General features: G+C 47.8%; 1 long non-coding RNA gene across 2 annotated transcripts in view, besides 2 other annotated features; it reads left to right on the forward strand.

The window, feature by feature from the left end:
- Nucleotides 1-16006, forward strand: part of LOC101927025 (uncharacterized) — an 83190-nt gene that overhangs the window by 35570 nt on the left and 31614 nt on the right. The window lies entirely within an intron of this gene.
- Nucleotides 10945-11483: an enhancer, noted in NCBI's record as "OCT4-NANOG hESC enhancer chr15:93678957-93679495 (GRCh37/hg19 assembly coordinates)". NCBI's record gives its function as "activates a minimal SCP1, AML or CMV promoter by ChIP-STARR-seq in naive H9 embryonic stem cells {active_cell/tissue: H9 hESC(naive)}" and the evidence as "EXISTENCE:reporter gene assay evidence [ECO:0000049][PMID:30033119]".
- Nucleotides 11484-12021: an enhancer, noted in NCBI's record as "OCT4-NANOG hESC enhancer chr15:93679496-93680033 (GRCh37/hg19 assembly coordinates)". NCBI's record gives its function as "activates a minimal SCP1, AML or CMV promoter by ChIP-STARR-seq in naive H9 embryonic stem cells {active_cell/tissue: H9 hESC(naive)}" and the evidence as "EXISTENCE:reporter gene assay evidence [ECO:0000049][PMID:30033119]".

Below are 16006 nucleotides of genomic sequence, written 5' to 3' on the forward strand. Positions count from 1 at the left end.
AATGTGCTACTGGTTGATCTGATGTCCGAGGAGGTTGCAAACTGGTGGCCTGTATGTGCTCAGCTTGCAGATGCGTTTTATTCCCCAACCCCCAGACTGTTTCTTTAAACATGTGGATTACCTGCCATCATTAAAAATGTTGAAGATTTCATATCAGAGCCCAAATTCTAACTACAAACATAAAATGAGCAATTATGAGCCCGTGTTGCTGGTGGCAGCAATGTGTTGGTTCTGAATAAAGTCTGGGCCCGGATCTGGGCATACCTTCTCAGAGGGCTCATCCTCACCACCTGGCCTGCTTCAGGCATCACAGTCCCTGCCTGGCCTCTGTAGGCCTTTTAGTTTGTGACTGTTTTATTTCTTGTGCCTTCGGCCACAATTTGTCATTCAATTCTTCTGTTTGGGGGCAGAGGAGCTGCATTTATCAAAATATTATTGCTTCCCCCCATCTTTATCTCCTTAAAGCCTCGTTACCAGTAGCCACTGAACAATGAAAGGTGTATCAGACTCAGAATCAGAAGATCTGGGTGTTGTCTAGGTGTTGATGCTTACCAGCTTTGGAACCTTGGGCAAACAATCTTTCCAAGTCATAGCTTCTTTGTCAATTGGTGGCTCATAATCATAATGACTGAATGGGCAGTAAGGGAAAGGTGTCTGCGGACTCCCTAGGGTGTGGAGCTACAGGAGGGGAGGGTGGGGATGTGATGCCTCGAGACTATCGAGGAAGATGGAGTTGAAGTAGGCAATTAAGGCCAGGAGTGGTGGCTCACGCCTGTAATCCCAGCACCTCCCAAAAGGCCGAGGTGGGCAGATCACAAGATCAGGAGATCGAGACCATCCTGGCTAGCATGGTGAAACCCCGTCTCTACTAAAAATACAAAAAAAAAAAAAAATTAGCCGGGCATGGTGGCAGGCACCTGTAAGCCCAGCACTCTGGGAGGCTGAGGCGGGTGGATCACGAGGTCAGGAGATCCAGACCATCCTGGCTAGCATGGTGAAACTCCGTCTCTACTAAAAATACAAAAAAAAAAAAAAAAAATTAGCCTGGCGTGGTGGCGGGTGCCTGTAGTCCCAGCTACTCAGGAGGCTGAGGCAGGAGAATGGCGTGAACCTGGGAGGCGGAGCTTGCAGTGAGCCGAGATCGTGCCACTGCACTCCAGCCTGGGCGACAGAGCGAGACTCCGTCTCAGAAAAAAAAGAAAAGAAGTAGGCAATTATACAGTCGTAAGTGCTATCATGCAGAGATGCTGGGGTGGGGGTAGTGGCTTGGTTCAGCCTCCAGGTGGTGGGAGGTGGCTGGACAGGACTTTGTGGAGGAGTCAATGAGCTGAGTCTTGAAGGAAAACTTGGCTTTGTCAAGAGGACATGATAATAATGGAAGGCCTCTAGTCATTAAAATGCACAGGCTCCCAAGAGAGTCTGTTAGGAAGTCATTGGTAGAGTGTTCCCCTGGCTGTAGGGGAGAGAGGGCTCTTGGCAGCCTTCTAGAGACCCCTCCAGTGCCCTGGTGGAAGCTGAGCAGCTGAAGCTGGCTTGGGAAGTTCACAGTGCCAGACTGATGTTTCCCCACCAAGCGCGCCCTGTGGGTGGGGAGAAAGGAACATGAACATTTGGGTCCCTGCTGAGGAACATCTGGTGGTTGGTTAGTGTGACAGTCAAGACAGAGTTAAAAATAGGATTTTGGCCCCTTCTGTCTGGAGCCATCACTATGCATTGAAGACTGGAGAAAATAATGTAATCTGATTGTTCCGTTGGGTCATTTCTGGGAATATAAAGACATTTTTCCAAAACTGGAAGCCTGTGTGCATTGAGAGAGTAATTCAGGACTCCATTCTGTATCCTCCCTTGGCCTCCCCATGGTCTTCCCCTTCCCGGCCTCCTGCTCCACAGCGGATGCCTGTTCCCCTTGAAACTCGACTTCGTTAGAGATGACCCAGTTTTTTCCGCACTGAACTCTGCCAGGGTTGAAGATGCATTTGGCTGCTTGAGAAAACCCCAGCCTGCTGCCCCTCACTGCACTGCATTTGGCAAAGGTCTCCTGCAGAAGGAATGCTGAGAATTTCCCTTTCCATCATGTCAGATCATCTGGCTTGGTCCTGGCCCTTCCCCACGAGCCCAGTGGACACAGCTGGAGCAGGGCGGGGCCCAGGCACATTGCTGAGCTGGGAGCTGAAGCTTTCCCTTCTGCTTGAAGGCCACAGCGGAGCAGGGCTGACCCAGGCCAGCATTTCCCAGGTGGCATGGGGGAAGGCTCTGAGCCTGATACACAAGTGGAAGGAGACGGGCAAAGGCCTGCTCCTCTCGTGTAAGCTTTAATCCTGGGATTAAACCCATGAACTTCCCCAAAGCACCTCACTATTTGACGAGGAGATCTTCAAGAAAGAGTCACTTCTGCAGGGGTGGACCCAGGTTTTGGGTGACCTGAAGTTCCTAGGATTTTCTGAATCCTCCTTGAGAAGATAAAATTAAGTCCAGCGTCTTAGGAGGGGCCTTTGGAAAGGAGGGCCTCTGAGGCCCAAGCTAAGTTAGTGTCGTGGTGAATCTGCCATTCCCATCTCCGTTGTAAGAGGCAGAAAATCAGACTTAAGAGCTGGGAAGACATTTTGGAATGGGCTTTGGTTGTTCATTTAGGAACCTGCCTTTGCCGGGCCATCTGATGGCCAGGGGGTCACTGAGGACTGGGGCAGTGGGCCTGGGGCCCGTGGGGTCTGATGTGTGTAGAGGCACACATGGGAGCTGGTACTGCTGGGGGAAGTCCATGGGACCAGTTTAAAGTCAGCAGGCAAGATCAGGTCAGCTAAAATGACAAGTGGAGGATAGCGGGATGCCAGTCAGGGAGGCCACTGAGCTCCAAGAGCCAGATAGGATCTGATGTAGGAGGAAGCAGGTCGGAAATGAGCTTGGAGGTGGGTAATGTTATGCGGTGGCCTCGGGTAACATTTATGAGCCGCTCAATGTATGGCTATCTCAGGTTGGCTTCCAGGTAGAATGGGTAGAGTTTTATTTGCTAGATTTTGCACGATAGTTTGGGAGTTGAGCATTTTCACCTCACAGCCTCATAGATCTGGGTTTCAACACAGGCCCAGTTGCCTCTATTTGCTGGGTGGCTAGATCATACCAACCTCTAGGAGAAAGAGAAGTGACTGCCTTTGGAAGTGGACAGGTTCCAACCCTAAGTCTGTCATGTCCCAGCTTTGAGCCTCATATTTCTGTATCCATAAGACTCTTATCAGGCCGGGTGTGGTGGCTCATGCCTGTAATCCCAGAACTTTGGGAAGCTGAGGCGGGCAGATCACCTGAGGTCAGGAGTTCAAGGCCAGTCTGGCCAACCATGGCCAACATGGTGAAACCCCGTCTCTACTAAAAATACAAAAATTAGCTGGGCGTGGTGGCAGGCACCTGTAATCTCGCTACGCGGGAGGCTGAAGCAGGAGAATCGCTTGAAGCCAGGAGGTGGAGGTTGCAGTGAGCCAAGAACACGCCACTGCACTCCAGCCTGGACGATAGAGGGAGACTCTGTTTCAAAAAAGAAAAAAAAAAGACTCATGTCATACATGTTTTTGAAAAGGGGTGATGGTCAAAATAATTGACACAGGTAAAGTCTTATTGCTAAATTTTTAAATACAACTCTCGGGCTGGGCGCGGTGGCTCACGCCTATAATCCCAGCACTTTGGGAGGCCGATGTGGGCAGATCACGAGGTCAGGAGATCGAGACCATCCTGGCTAACACGGTGAAACCCCATCTCTACTAAAAAAATACCAAAAAAAAAGAAAATTAGCCAGGCGTGGTGGCACGCACCTATAGTCCCGGCTACTCGGGAGGCTGAGGTAGGAGAATGGCGTGAACCCGGGGGAAGCGGAGCTTACAGTGAGCCGAGATCACGCCACTGCACTCCAGCCTGGGTGACAGAGTGAGACTCTGTCTCAAAACAAACAAACAAAAACAAAAACTCTCTAGAAACCAGCAGATGCAAATCAGTAAGTATGTACCACTTACAAGCTTGGTCTAATAGACATGTAGAGAACCCAATCAGCAGAGTCGGTGCACACTTCTCAGGCCCCCATGGAACACTGACACACACCTGACCACATTCTAGGCCTCAAAGTCTCAAGTCTTAAGGGTGTGTATCATACAGACTCCAGGCCTTGCAACCATATTCATGGGCTAATCCTAGCAACGTTACTGAGCTTGCTTATTGATCTGCATGTGACAATACCCACGGTTCTGGCAAACTTAATGTCAAATGGAAACATTGAGCTGCAGAATATAAACATAAGTTGATATGAATTATTACATTTTAAAACACAGAATATTGTTTGTTTATAAATAAACACTTAGGTAGCAAAAAGCCTAAAGACACAGAAGGAAGGATCTACCTATTGGTGAGAGTTTCAGAGGTTACTTTACTTGTACCTGAAATGTTGTGTTTAAAGCATAAAAAGGCCTGGGCCAGGCGCAGTGGCTCATGCCTGTAATTCCAGTACTTTGGGAGGCCGAGGCAGACTGATCACCTGCGGTCAGGAGTTCAAGACCAGCCTGGCCAATATGGCGAAACCCCATCTCTACAAAAGTACAAAAATTAGCCGGGCATGATGGCGGGTGTCTGTAATCTCAGATACTTGGGAGGCTGAGATGGGGAGAATCGCTTGAACCCGGGAGGCACAGGTTGCACTCCAGCCAACATTGCACTCCAACCTGGGCGACAGAGCAAGACTCCATCTCAAAAAACAAACAGACATAAAAAGGTCTGAAATAAATGTGACAGTTTCACATATTTAATGTACTTTGTGTTTACCTAGAGCTTGTTCTATCCCTTACTTCGTATTTCATCAGAATTGAGATCATTAATATTAAGAGAAAAGGGCTCAGTGTTGGGCACATAATTGGTGTCCAGCAAATGTTTTGTCCTGACTAGGCTGTAGAAGCACATCCAATGAGCTGCAGTGGGAGAAAGTTCCTAGGGTAGGGCCTGGCTAGTGCAAGCGCCCAGGATGGATTTGCCTCTCCTTCTCCTGCCTTCAGGTTTTGGTCCAGCCTCGGACCTGGAGCCTTGTAGATTGCAGGGCCAGGCTGGCTTTCCGGATGCAACAGCAGCAGCACAGCCTGCTCTAACTGGTTAGGTCTCCCACAGCCCAAGAATCTGGGAGGCTCCGTGAGTTCTGGAAACATCAGAGAGGCAGCAGCAGGCTTCCGAGGCTGGGGAGACTGGGCATTAGCCCATGACTTACGCTCGTGTCCCCACCTCCAACAGGACAGCAAGACCCTCTACTGCATGTCGCTGCCAAGCCCTGCATGTCACCGTTGCCTGGCAGGTCAGGGAGAGATGGACATTCCCGGCTGCGCCATCCCTCCATTTTCTTGCTGTATTACTCATTAATACCCACCCCCACCCTGATCTCCCCTTAGGCCGTGGACTTTCTACCTTTTTAGGCTCATTAGCAAACCTATTATACAATAACTACATGACTGGGTTTCCATGGCGATTTGTGTGTTCTGTCTCATGGTGCTTTCCAAAGAGCCTATCTTAATCCTCATCAGCCCCACCACGGCTCGTCTCCGCCATATCTCATTACAGCGAAAGCTTCCTTAAGAAAACATTGGTTTTCATAAAACTCATTTCGCTGGGGCAAAAAAAGCAATCTCAAATCTCAATTTTTTTTAAAGACAAATTTGCATTTTGAAAACAAAGGCTTTTTGAGTTCAGATTCATTAAATTGCCTCTAACGCAGCATGTAATTGAGAGTAACTTGTTTTAATCATCAGTTTCGTTACCATCAGGAGATATTAAATACTTTTAGCATACATGCTGTTAAGCAGATTAAAGGCACTTAGGATTCATGTTCGTATGGCCACTTCGTGGATGCGTGCAGGCAAACCTTGAAGACTATGTTCAGAGACCTGTACAAAAATACATGAGTGATTTCATTCTCTTCAGCTGGGGAGTCTGCAGATGGTCAAGCACTGAGAAATATCAGGTTGGTGGGAACAAATCGTTTTGAGCCAGGCCCAGTGGGAGACGTGTAGTGTGGACAATCTCTTGATGAATATAGACTTGCACCGTCCTGTGCATTATTTACCCAGCTGCGCCTATTACTATTTCAATAATTTAACGCAATTTGTTACAGGGGTAACAACTGATTGCAATCAATAAGCAAGAAGCCTGGAATCCAATCTAAACTGTATGAGGGCCCCAGCAGGTCTTTCAGGCGCAGAACTTCCCTTTCTTCCTTAACCCTTTCTGCCCCTGGAACGTCTCAAGAGTGGTCTGAAGAAACTTCTGTTGAAAAAATCCTCAGTGTGATAGCATCCGGCCCCAGAATGCATTTGGCAGGGTCCCTTCCGGTTGCTATTCAAAGTGTGGTCCACAGATTGGCCACGCCAGCATTGGCATCAGCTTCGGTGTCACCATCAGTACCAGTATCATCTCGACTTTGCTTGAAATGTAAATTCTCATGCCCCACCCTGGACATGTGGAGGAGGGGCCCAGTGAGCTGTGTTCTTACAAGCCCTCCAAATGATTCTGATGCATACACATGTTTGAGAGCCGCTGGACAAGGGCAGGACCAAGTGTTAAGATAACAGTCTGGGTGCGGTGGCTCAAGCCTGTAATCCCAGCACTATGGAGGCTGAGACGTGTGGATCACCTGAGGTCAGGAGTTCAAGAGCAGCCTGGCCAACTTGGCGAAACCCTGTCTCTATTAAAAAATACAATAAATTAGCCGGGCATGGTGGTGGGCGCCTATAATCCAAGTGACTCGGGAGGCTGAGGCACGAGAATCGCTTGAACCCAGGAAGCAGAGGTTGCAGTGAACCGAGATGGCACCATTGCACTCCAGCCTGGGCAACAGAGAGAGACTCCGTCTCAATAAAATAAAATAAAATAAATAAAATAAATAAAATAAAATAAAATAAAAAAATAAAATAAAATAAAATAAAATGTACAAGCAGGGCTCAGTTTTAATATCCACCAAGCCTGCTTTATTGTGGGCCACAAGAGTTAGGAGTAGCCAGTCAGGAGTCTTCTTGATCCCATACCCAGCACCCCCCGCCCATGGCTTCCAGCATCTTCTCCCTCATGGCATGCTCCATCCTGCTGGCTCTGCTCCACGGCTCCTCCAAACATAGCTCCCACTTTCACACCCTGCAGGGACAGTTCTGTTTTTGCACATATTGCAACTGCCAGAATTGACAGAAGTGACATTTATTATAAAACATGTATTTTATTTTATCGCATTTCTCAAACAACCAACTGTGACATTTCTTCCAGCCCCCAAACAAACCTAGGGATGGAATGAGTTTGGCAAGTGGCTTTCAAGAGCAACATTTTATGATTAGTCTCTGTCCTCTTGTGAAAGAGGAATGTTTCTTACTTCAATAATTGAATCAACAGTCAGTGTTTCATCTATCATCATTTAGAATTAGGCAATATCTATAAGCACCCTCAACACACACAAAAAGAGCGTTTCAGTGCACTTATATATGTTACTTTTTATATAAAATACACATTATATAGTTACATAAAAATATATTATTTTAAATATATATAAAATCAGCTTTAGAGAGAGATAATTCACATACCATACAATTTGCCCATTGAAAGTGTACAACTCCGTGATTTTTTTGTATCTCTCCAGAGTTGTGCGACTTTCACTACAATCAATTTTAAAATATCTTCCAGCCAGCCATGGTAGGTCACACCTGTCATCCCAGCACTTTGGGAGGTCAAGGCGGGAAGATCACTTGAGGCCAGGAGTTCGAGATCACCCTGGGCAACATGGCAAGACCCCCATCTCTATAAAAAGTAAAAAAATTAGCTGGGCATGGTGGCACATGCCTATAGTCCCAGCTATTCAGGAGGCTAAGGTGGGACAATTGCTTGAACCCAGAGGTCAAACTGCAGTGAGCCAAGATTGTGCCATTGCACTGCAGTCTGGGTAACAGAGCAAGACCTGTCTCAAAAATAAAATAAAATAGGCTGGGCGTGGTGGCTCTTACCTGTAATCCCAGCACTTTGGGAGGCCGAGGCGGGCGATCACCTGAGATTGGGAGTTCGAGACCAGCCTGACCAACATGGAGAAACCCTGTCTCTACTAAAAATACAAAATTAGCCAGGCGTGGTGGCGCATGCCTGTAATCCCAGCTACTCAGGAGGCTGAGGCAGGAGAATCGCTTGAACTGGGAGGCGAAGGTTGTGGTGAGCCGAGATTACACCATTGCACTCCAGCCTGAGCAGCAAGAGTGAAACTCCGTCTCAAAAATAAATAAATTAATACAAAATAAAATAAGATAAAATAAAACATTTTCACAGCCCCCAAAAGAAACCTAGGCCCTTTAGCCATTACCCTCCAATTTCCCTTTCCGCATAACCCTAGGCAAGCATGAGTTCACTTTCTGTTTCTATGGATTTGCATGTCTAGACATTTTATATATTTCATGCAAATGGAATCATGCAACATGTAACCCTTCATGACTGGCGTATATCACCTAGCATAATGTCCAAGGTTCATCTGTGTTGTAGCATTTACCAGCACTTCATTTTTCCTAAAGGCCAAATTTTAACACATGTGTACATCCGTGCTCCCTCCTCACCGCTATGATACTTCTCAAGTTGGATTTTAGTTCCCAACTATGCTGTATGTGTGAGCGTGTGTATATGTGAGTATTTTAATACTAGTGGTTATTTATAATTACTTTCGGCATCAGCATCCTCTCCTTTTCTTCCCTCCCTCTCTTCCTACCCCTTCTTCTCCCCTGGTGCCTACCCCCACCCTTCATGGTGGGAACTAGGTCTTGGGTTGAGTGACTGGTAAGCAGATTGAATCTTATGGCCAGGCTCTGAGCTACAAACTCAGGCCCTAGCAGATAGTTTTCTTAGACTCGGTGTCCTTGTAATCTCCATGGTGGCCTGGCCTACAACACAGATTGTAGCACATGTGACAGTGATGAGTGGCTCTCAATTGCCGCCACCACAGATACTTTTCTTTCCTCCTAGAAAGAGAAGAGTTTGCCCATCACCAGAACCACGGAGCCCTACAGCTTTCCTAGGCAGGGATTGAGAAGCAGATAGCACACTGAGAAGACGCACTTCACGAGACATCCACCACATGATGCTTACTTGTGGCCGGGTTCTCCAATGTTATGGAACAATTTCCTGCCAGGCGCAGTGGCTTACTTTTATAATGCCAGCAAGGGGAGAGGATTGCTTGAGCCCAGGAATTTGAGATTAGCCTGGACAATATAGGGAGATCTTGTCTCTATAAAAATTTAAAAGTTAGCCAAGCGTGATGGTACGCACGTGTAGTCCCAGCTACTTGGCGGGCTGAGGTGGGAGGATTGCTTGAGCCTGGGAGGTCAAGCCTGCAGTAAGCCATGATCACACCACTGCACTCCAGCCTGGGTGACAGAGTGAGACCCTGTCTCAAAAAAAAAAAAAAAAAAAGAAGAATGTCCCAATGTGGGGACCTTCTCAATAGTCCTGAGCATCCCTCACACCTAGCACTGCACAAGCATACAGGTGTGACCAGAGGAATGACTTGGGCTCACAGGTGAAGTGCTAAGGGTCTTGGTCACACCATTGAGTCCGACACTCATTTCATCATTTCACAGACAAAGACCTGGAGCCTTTCATAGGTTCCATGACTTGTCTTGTCTGAGGCCTCGAAGGAGTGTCACCAGGACTGGAGTTGGGCAGGGGGACAGGTTCTACTGATGGATGGTTTGTTCACCTCCTAATGCACAGAAAATCTGGACTTTATTGCAGAGGGCGATTCTTTCCCTTCAAAACTCTTTTTTATTTTTACCCTGAAACAAGCCTGTCTCATGGAAACTCTCTGGGGCCATCCCATTGTTCGTATTCCCTCCTGGGGTGTAAGATAGCCTCATATTTCCACTCTGCAATCTCTGAGCTTCTTTCTGGTTCCAGCTCAGACTCCCCCTTCTCACCCCCTGAGTTTCAGACTTGGATGTCCAACTGCTTCCAGGATGTTGCCACACAATGTCTGAAACTTAAAATGTCCAGCACAAAACTTAAACAGGCTCCATGATTTGTCTGAGGCTTCAAAGGAGGAAACTCTAATCATCTCCTCCCCCAAAACACTTCCTCTCTATACTCAGCCTTTTCCATCTTCTAAATGATCGCTGTTCCACTAGGTCCTCAAGTGAAAAACCAAAGGGGCATCTTGCATGCTTTTCTTCCTCACATCCCCCACATTGTATGCACTGGTGACTCCAGGCACACCTGACATCCATTCCTCAACACTCTCTCTTAGTGCTGGGTCTACCCACTGCATTAACCCTTGATTGATCTGCTGCATCTCCTGTCACTCTCCAACAATCCATTTTTAACTGCCAGATGGCCCATTCAAAATGCAAACCAGAGAACTCAATTTCTTTTATTTTTTATTTTTTATTTTTATTTTTATTTGAGACGGAGTGTCGTTCTGTCGCCCAGGCTGGAGTGCAGTGGCATGATCTCGGCTCACTGCAACCTCCGCCTCCTGGGTTCAAGCAATTCTCCTGCCTCAGCCTCCTGAGTAGCTGGGATTACAGGTGCGTGCCACCACGCCTGGCTAATTTTTGCATTTTTAGTAGAGATAGGGTTTCACCGTGTTGGTCAGGCTGGTCTCGAACTCCTGACATTATGATCCACCCACCTTGGCCTCCCAAAGTGGTGGGATTACAGGGGTGAGCCACTGCACCTGGCCAATAACTCAGTTTCTAGCCAAAAGCCCTCGATGACTTCTGCTTGCCCCTAGCGTGAAAACCAGGCTCCTCTTGGCTTCAACACACTTCACAGACTTTCTCGCACTGTGTAGATAAGCACTCTTTGGGCAGGGACTATTCTGTCTTGTCTGCCACTGAACCTGCAGTGCCTGGCACACAGTAGGAGTTGGCACAAAGCAGGAAGGACTGGTTGTTGGAGTGTCTGGCTCTATTCCTGCCTTGGTCTCCCTGCAGCTTTGTCTGACCACCTGACTCTGGACCTGCTGCTGGCCATGGGATTCCAGGGCTGTGAGTTGAGGCTGATAGCTGTGCAGTGATGTTTGTGATGAATGCACTCATTTGAAAATATAAATACCATAACACAAGGTATGCGTGTTATGATACCTCAGGATAAAATGTCACATGGTAGTTTGGAATTTATTGAGAAGGATTCATTCTTCCCCTTACTCCCTGTCTCATTTTCAGCTGGAAGCTGAGTTGTCTTCTGAGCTGGGGCCTCTGGGGCTGGAGGGCCACCTCCTGCTGGTTTTACCAGAGGTCAAGCTGAGGATCTTGAACCCAGTGTCCTGTAGATTACTTCCAGGTGAGATGACCCTCAGGGAATGAAAAAGGCCTTCACAGTGAGGAGCCACTAACATTTCTGCATCTGAGAAGAAGATCAAGCATTAAACCATAAAATGCTCCTGGCTAATGAAATAGAAAGTAAAAGGCCACTCTTCTCAAAAGCAGTATGGTGTCTTTGAAGGTTAAATGGCCTGTGATAGCAGCAGTCCTTACACTCATAAATACCAAGCGGGACTCCTAGGCGACTAGTGAAAATGCATGGGGCCAGAGGGAGTTTTCTGGGGGCACTCTTAGTTGCCGTGGGTAGGGAGGGAGCTTGCACCATCTTCTCTTCCCCCTTAAAGGGTGAGTTCCCTGCTGCAAACTTTTGAGGCATCTTCCTTTAGCCCAGAAATCTGAACTGCCACATGGGTTCTTGTCCACAGGGGTCTATGACCCAAGACCAGCTGCATTCTGAGGTCAATTTGGGGGTCATCCCAGGAATAAGGGAAACGTTATTGATGGGGCAGAAACTCTCCTGATCTTTAGTCTGCAGGGATTTTCTGAATGCTGATTAGATGCTGGGGATTCAGCTGGGGGGAAATCATGGCGTGCACGTTTTTAAGTGAACCAGAGCTGAGAAACTGTCAGGCATATGCTGAGTGCAATGTTAGAGGAATGGTCAAGTTACAGGGGACGTAGAATACAATGATGCAACGGTCAACACTGAGGGAAGGGAAAGGTGTCAGGGAGGGTGGCCCTTCTGGGGAGCAGACAGCCTGAAGGAGCGCCAGGAGGCAGCAGAAATGTCTTGGTAACTGCAGGCAGCAGCACAGGATTCGGAAGCAGAGTTTACCCTAGAAAGTCATCTCTGGGCAGCTCAGGGTTGGATTTGTGTTTTAGAGAAGGTCACGCTGGCTCTAGTGACAAAGTGAATTGGAGGGAAATGGGAGATCAGCTAGTAGGCTGTCATTCCAGCCCTGCCAAAGCTGCTGCACTGATGAAGGTGAAAGGCAGGCAAGGAGAAGCCAAGCAAGTAGTGTCAACAGGCCTTGGGGGCAGTCGGCTCTAGGAAGAGATGGGAATAATTTTCATGAATGAGGCATGAGCACATGGGTGGTTCAATAGACTGAGAGAGGGCTGGGTGCGGTGGCTCACGCCTGTAATCCCGGCACTTTGGGAGGCTGAGTTGGGCAGATCACCTGAGGTCAGGAGTTCAAGACCAGCCTGGCCAACATGGTGAAACCCCGTCTCTACTAAAAATACAAAAAGTTAGCCGGGTGTGGTGGCAGGCGCCTGTAATCCCAGCTACTTGGGAGGCTGAGGCAGGAGAATCTCTTGAACCCGGGAGGCGGAGCTTGCAGTGAGCCGAGATTGCGCCATTACACTCCAGCCTGGGCAACAAGAGTGAAACTCTGTCTCAAAAAAAAAAAAAAAAAAAAGTTGGATGATCAGATTTTCCAGGAAGATACTGAGTTCAGTTGGGGACACATTTAGATTGAGGTGTCTGCAGGCCGCCTGAGAATGTCCTAAAGGAAGGGAGCTCCCAGCTCCAGGTTGGGTCTCAAAGACGTTGTCACATCAGACATATATCCACACCTGGGAAATAGCATTAGGGTAGAAATGAATTCCAAAGTGAATGAGATTGCCTATGGAGATTACGGACAAATGGACACCAGGCCTAATCTAGTCAACAGAGTTTGCATGTAGAATTTCTCCCATCCAGTGCCCTGCTGACATTGAGAGCTAAATCCTTTGAAACCAGGTGAGAAACTCTGTTTCACTTTGAGAGCCAACCCTTGGATTTGTGTGAAGATCTTGAGCATCTTGTAAGCAGGGCCACCGTTTTTTTTTGGCAGAGGGAAGGAAATTCAAACTCTGTCTTTGATATTAGAGTTGGTATTTGTGAGGTGAATGGATACCTAAGCTAGGAGATCATGGTGACTACATGCTGGGCTATTGGGACCCAGATTATTTGAAAGAAAGAAATATATTAGGAGGGAAAAGTGTATTTATGTGAAAATCTGCTCCATGCACCAAATAGTCAAGCTCTTTCCTTCCCATGGCTGGAACTGTACTTGTTCTGTCTGGAGCAGGACAAGTTGTCAAATACACAGAAAGAGGCATTGATGAACTATCAATATCCTAAACCAAGGAGCCAGCAGCTTGTCAACAATCAATCACTTTTCTTACCAGTTTAAATGCCCCCATCAGCTCAGACTCTGATGCTTTTACTCTGTAGTGATAGGTGTAGCTTACAGGCAGGCCCGTGCGTTAGGCACTGAAAAGAAACATGTTGAAAGGAGACTGGTATTTGCTATTGAATGGATTGTTTCAGTTTTCTTTAAGTCATCAAAGGCAAATTATACTGAAGTAACAGCTAGAAGAGGTGGCATTGTTGATTGCAAGAGAAGCCTGGAGAGAGGAAGGCCTCATCTACCTGTGACAATAGCCCATGGAGAATTAAAGGGCAGAGGAGATGCTGGATGTTGCAACAGGCCTAGGTCCAGGTGGCTTCGTGTTGCATTGTAATTCTGGGTGATTCCCCCATTCACAACAGGGCCCTAGTGTCTTGAAGAGAGTGGACCGCAGGAAGCATGTGGGGCCTGTAGGACCTAGCTAAGTTATTGGCGTGCAGTGTAGGACACTGGTTTTAGAGGGGATCTGGGACAGCAGGAAGGATGCTGGGGACATCAAGCTGCCTGGGTAAGAATGGGCAGTTGTCCAACATATATTCTAAGGGGCAAAGCAGGGTCAGGGACAGTTCAGCTGCTAGAGGATTATATTTGACCCCACCTCAAACTGGTTCAAGCAAAGTAATGTTGTCTCATATTACTGAGAGGCGCAGGGGTGGGCCAGCATCAGCCATGATTGGATACGGATGCTCAAATGCACCAGAACATATCTCTATCTCTTTCCTCTCTCCTCTGTGTGGCCCTATGTTTGGACAGGCTTTCCCCACACAGTGGTCCAGTGGCTACCAGCAGTGGAGGCTTGTTTTATGTAGCTTAGTAACATTAATTGAAAGAAAGTTCTGGCAAAGATCCCAGGATTGAATCTCATTTGTGTGGGTTGGACCATTTGTCCATCAGTGATCCAATCATGGTGTCCACAGGGATGAATGCTGTGGTGGGTCTGGTTCCAGATGGGTGTCTACCTACTGAGATGGGGAGAGATGGAGTCAGCCCCAACCAAATGACAAGGAATGGGAATGAGACCGAGAGGGGGTGTTCTCTCAAGGAATGTCAGGGTTTTGAATGAGTCAAAGCTGTAAAAGTAAAATAAGGAGAATCTTGCAATAAGGTGGGGAAGGGCTTGGCAGCAGGTGGCTTCGAACTGCCTTGTAATTCTGGGAGATCTCTGTGTCCACAATAGAATCCTTGTGTCATGAAGAGAGAGAGGTCTGCTAGAAGCACGTGGGGCCTCAGGGACTCAGTGAAGTTACTGGAGTTCAGTGTAGGACACTAGTTTTATAGGGGGTCTGGGACAGCAGGAAGGGTACTTGCACATTTGCAGAGGATGGCGGGGTGGGGGTGTCAAGGCCCAAGCCCAGTGCCAGAGCTGAGGGCAGTGGATTGTAGACCATGTGCCACAGAGCCATGACGCCTGGCGGAGATGTCTCAGGGTCGGGTGGCCATGGAGCCGGGGGATCTGGGCGACTCCACTCAGCTTCAGCCACAGCCACATCTTGTATCTATTTTGCACAATAGGTTTCCATTTGACGAAAGGACTTAGTTGTCCTAAAAGCCTCAAAAAAAATCCACTGGACAAGGGTGGTGGAACTCCACATCTCTTAAGCCAGACCTGGGCCTGCCCAAGTAGGCAGCATGATTCACTTCCAAAGGTGAATGATGGCACCTATTACTGTTGTCATAATGAGCTCAGGCCAGCATAGGTGACCTTCTGAGAAAGAGGAGGGTCAGGAGACAGGCAGGGCCGGCAGGGATGTCAGGAACATTCCTAGAGGCGGGGAGGACTGATGAGTGGGCTGCATGCATGGGTTGGCATCCCCTGTGCTACAGGGACAAATATTGGCAAGCAGACTCCCATAGGTGACCTCTGCCAGTTGCAGGGAATCTGAAAAAACTGTGAATTCATGCCAAAAAGATGGGGGAGGTTGGGAATTGCCTCCCCCCCATCCTCGTCGCACAGAGGACACTTGTCCAATTGCTGGTTGACTGTTATCATTGTCGTCTTGCTATCTTTTCTTTATTTGTACTTATTCTAAAAAGATTGGAAGTGTCTATGAGAAAAGATCCATCCATTTATACGTCTATGCATCAACCCCGCTACCCTTCCACTTAAGATGTATCTACCACGAGGCACTGTGCTAGGTCTTGGGCCTGTAAAGATGACGCAGTCCTGGCCCCAAAGTCCAGGCCCTTCACAACTCAGATGGGGAGATTGATGTGTTAACAAACAGTTGCCATGTAGTGAGATAAAGATAACGATAGAGAAGTAAAGGTCGTCCTGTGAGTCCCCAGGAGAACTTCTCTTACAACTTGAGCATTTGCAAAGAATTGGGGCTCAAAGGAATGGGCGAAGGGAAGGGCCTCCTAGACTTTAGGGAACAGCAGAGCAAAGTTACTGAGACACGAGGTACACTCTAATAAGAGAGGGTGATTTCCTTGTGTCTGGGACCTAAAGAGCTGTGAAGGGAAGAGACTGAGGCCAGTGAATGAATTGCTTGCAAGGTTGACCTTTATTTCTTGGTGGGGAGCTGCTGAAGGTTTTGAAGC

This window comes from Homo sapiens, chromosome 15, assembly GCF_000001405.40.
Source record: "Homo sapiens chromosome 15, GRCh38.p14 Primary Assembly".
Lineage (NCBI taxonomy): Eukaryota > Metazoa > Chordata > Mammalia > Primates > Hominidae > Homo > Homo sapiens.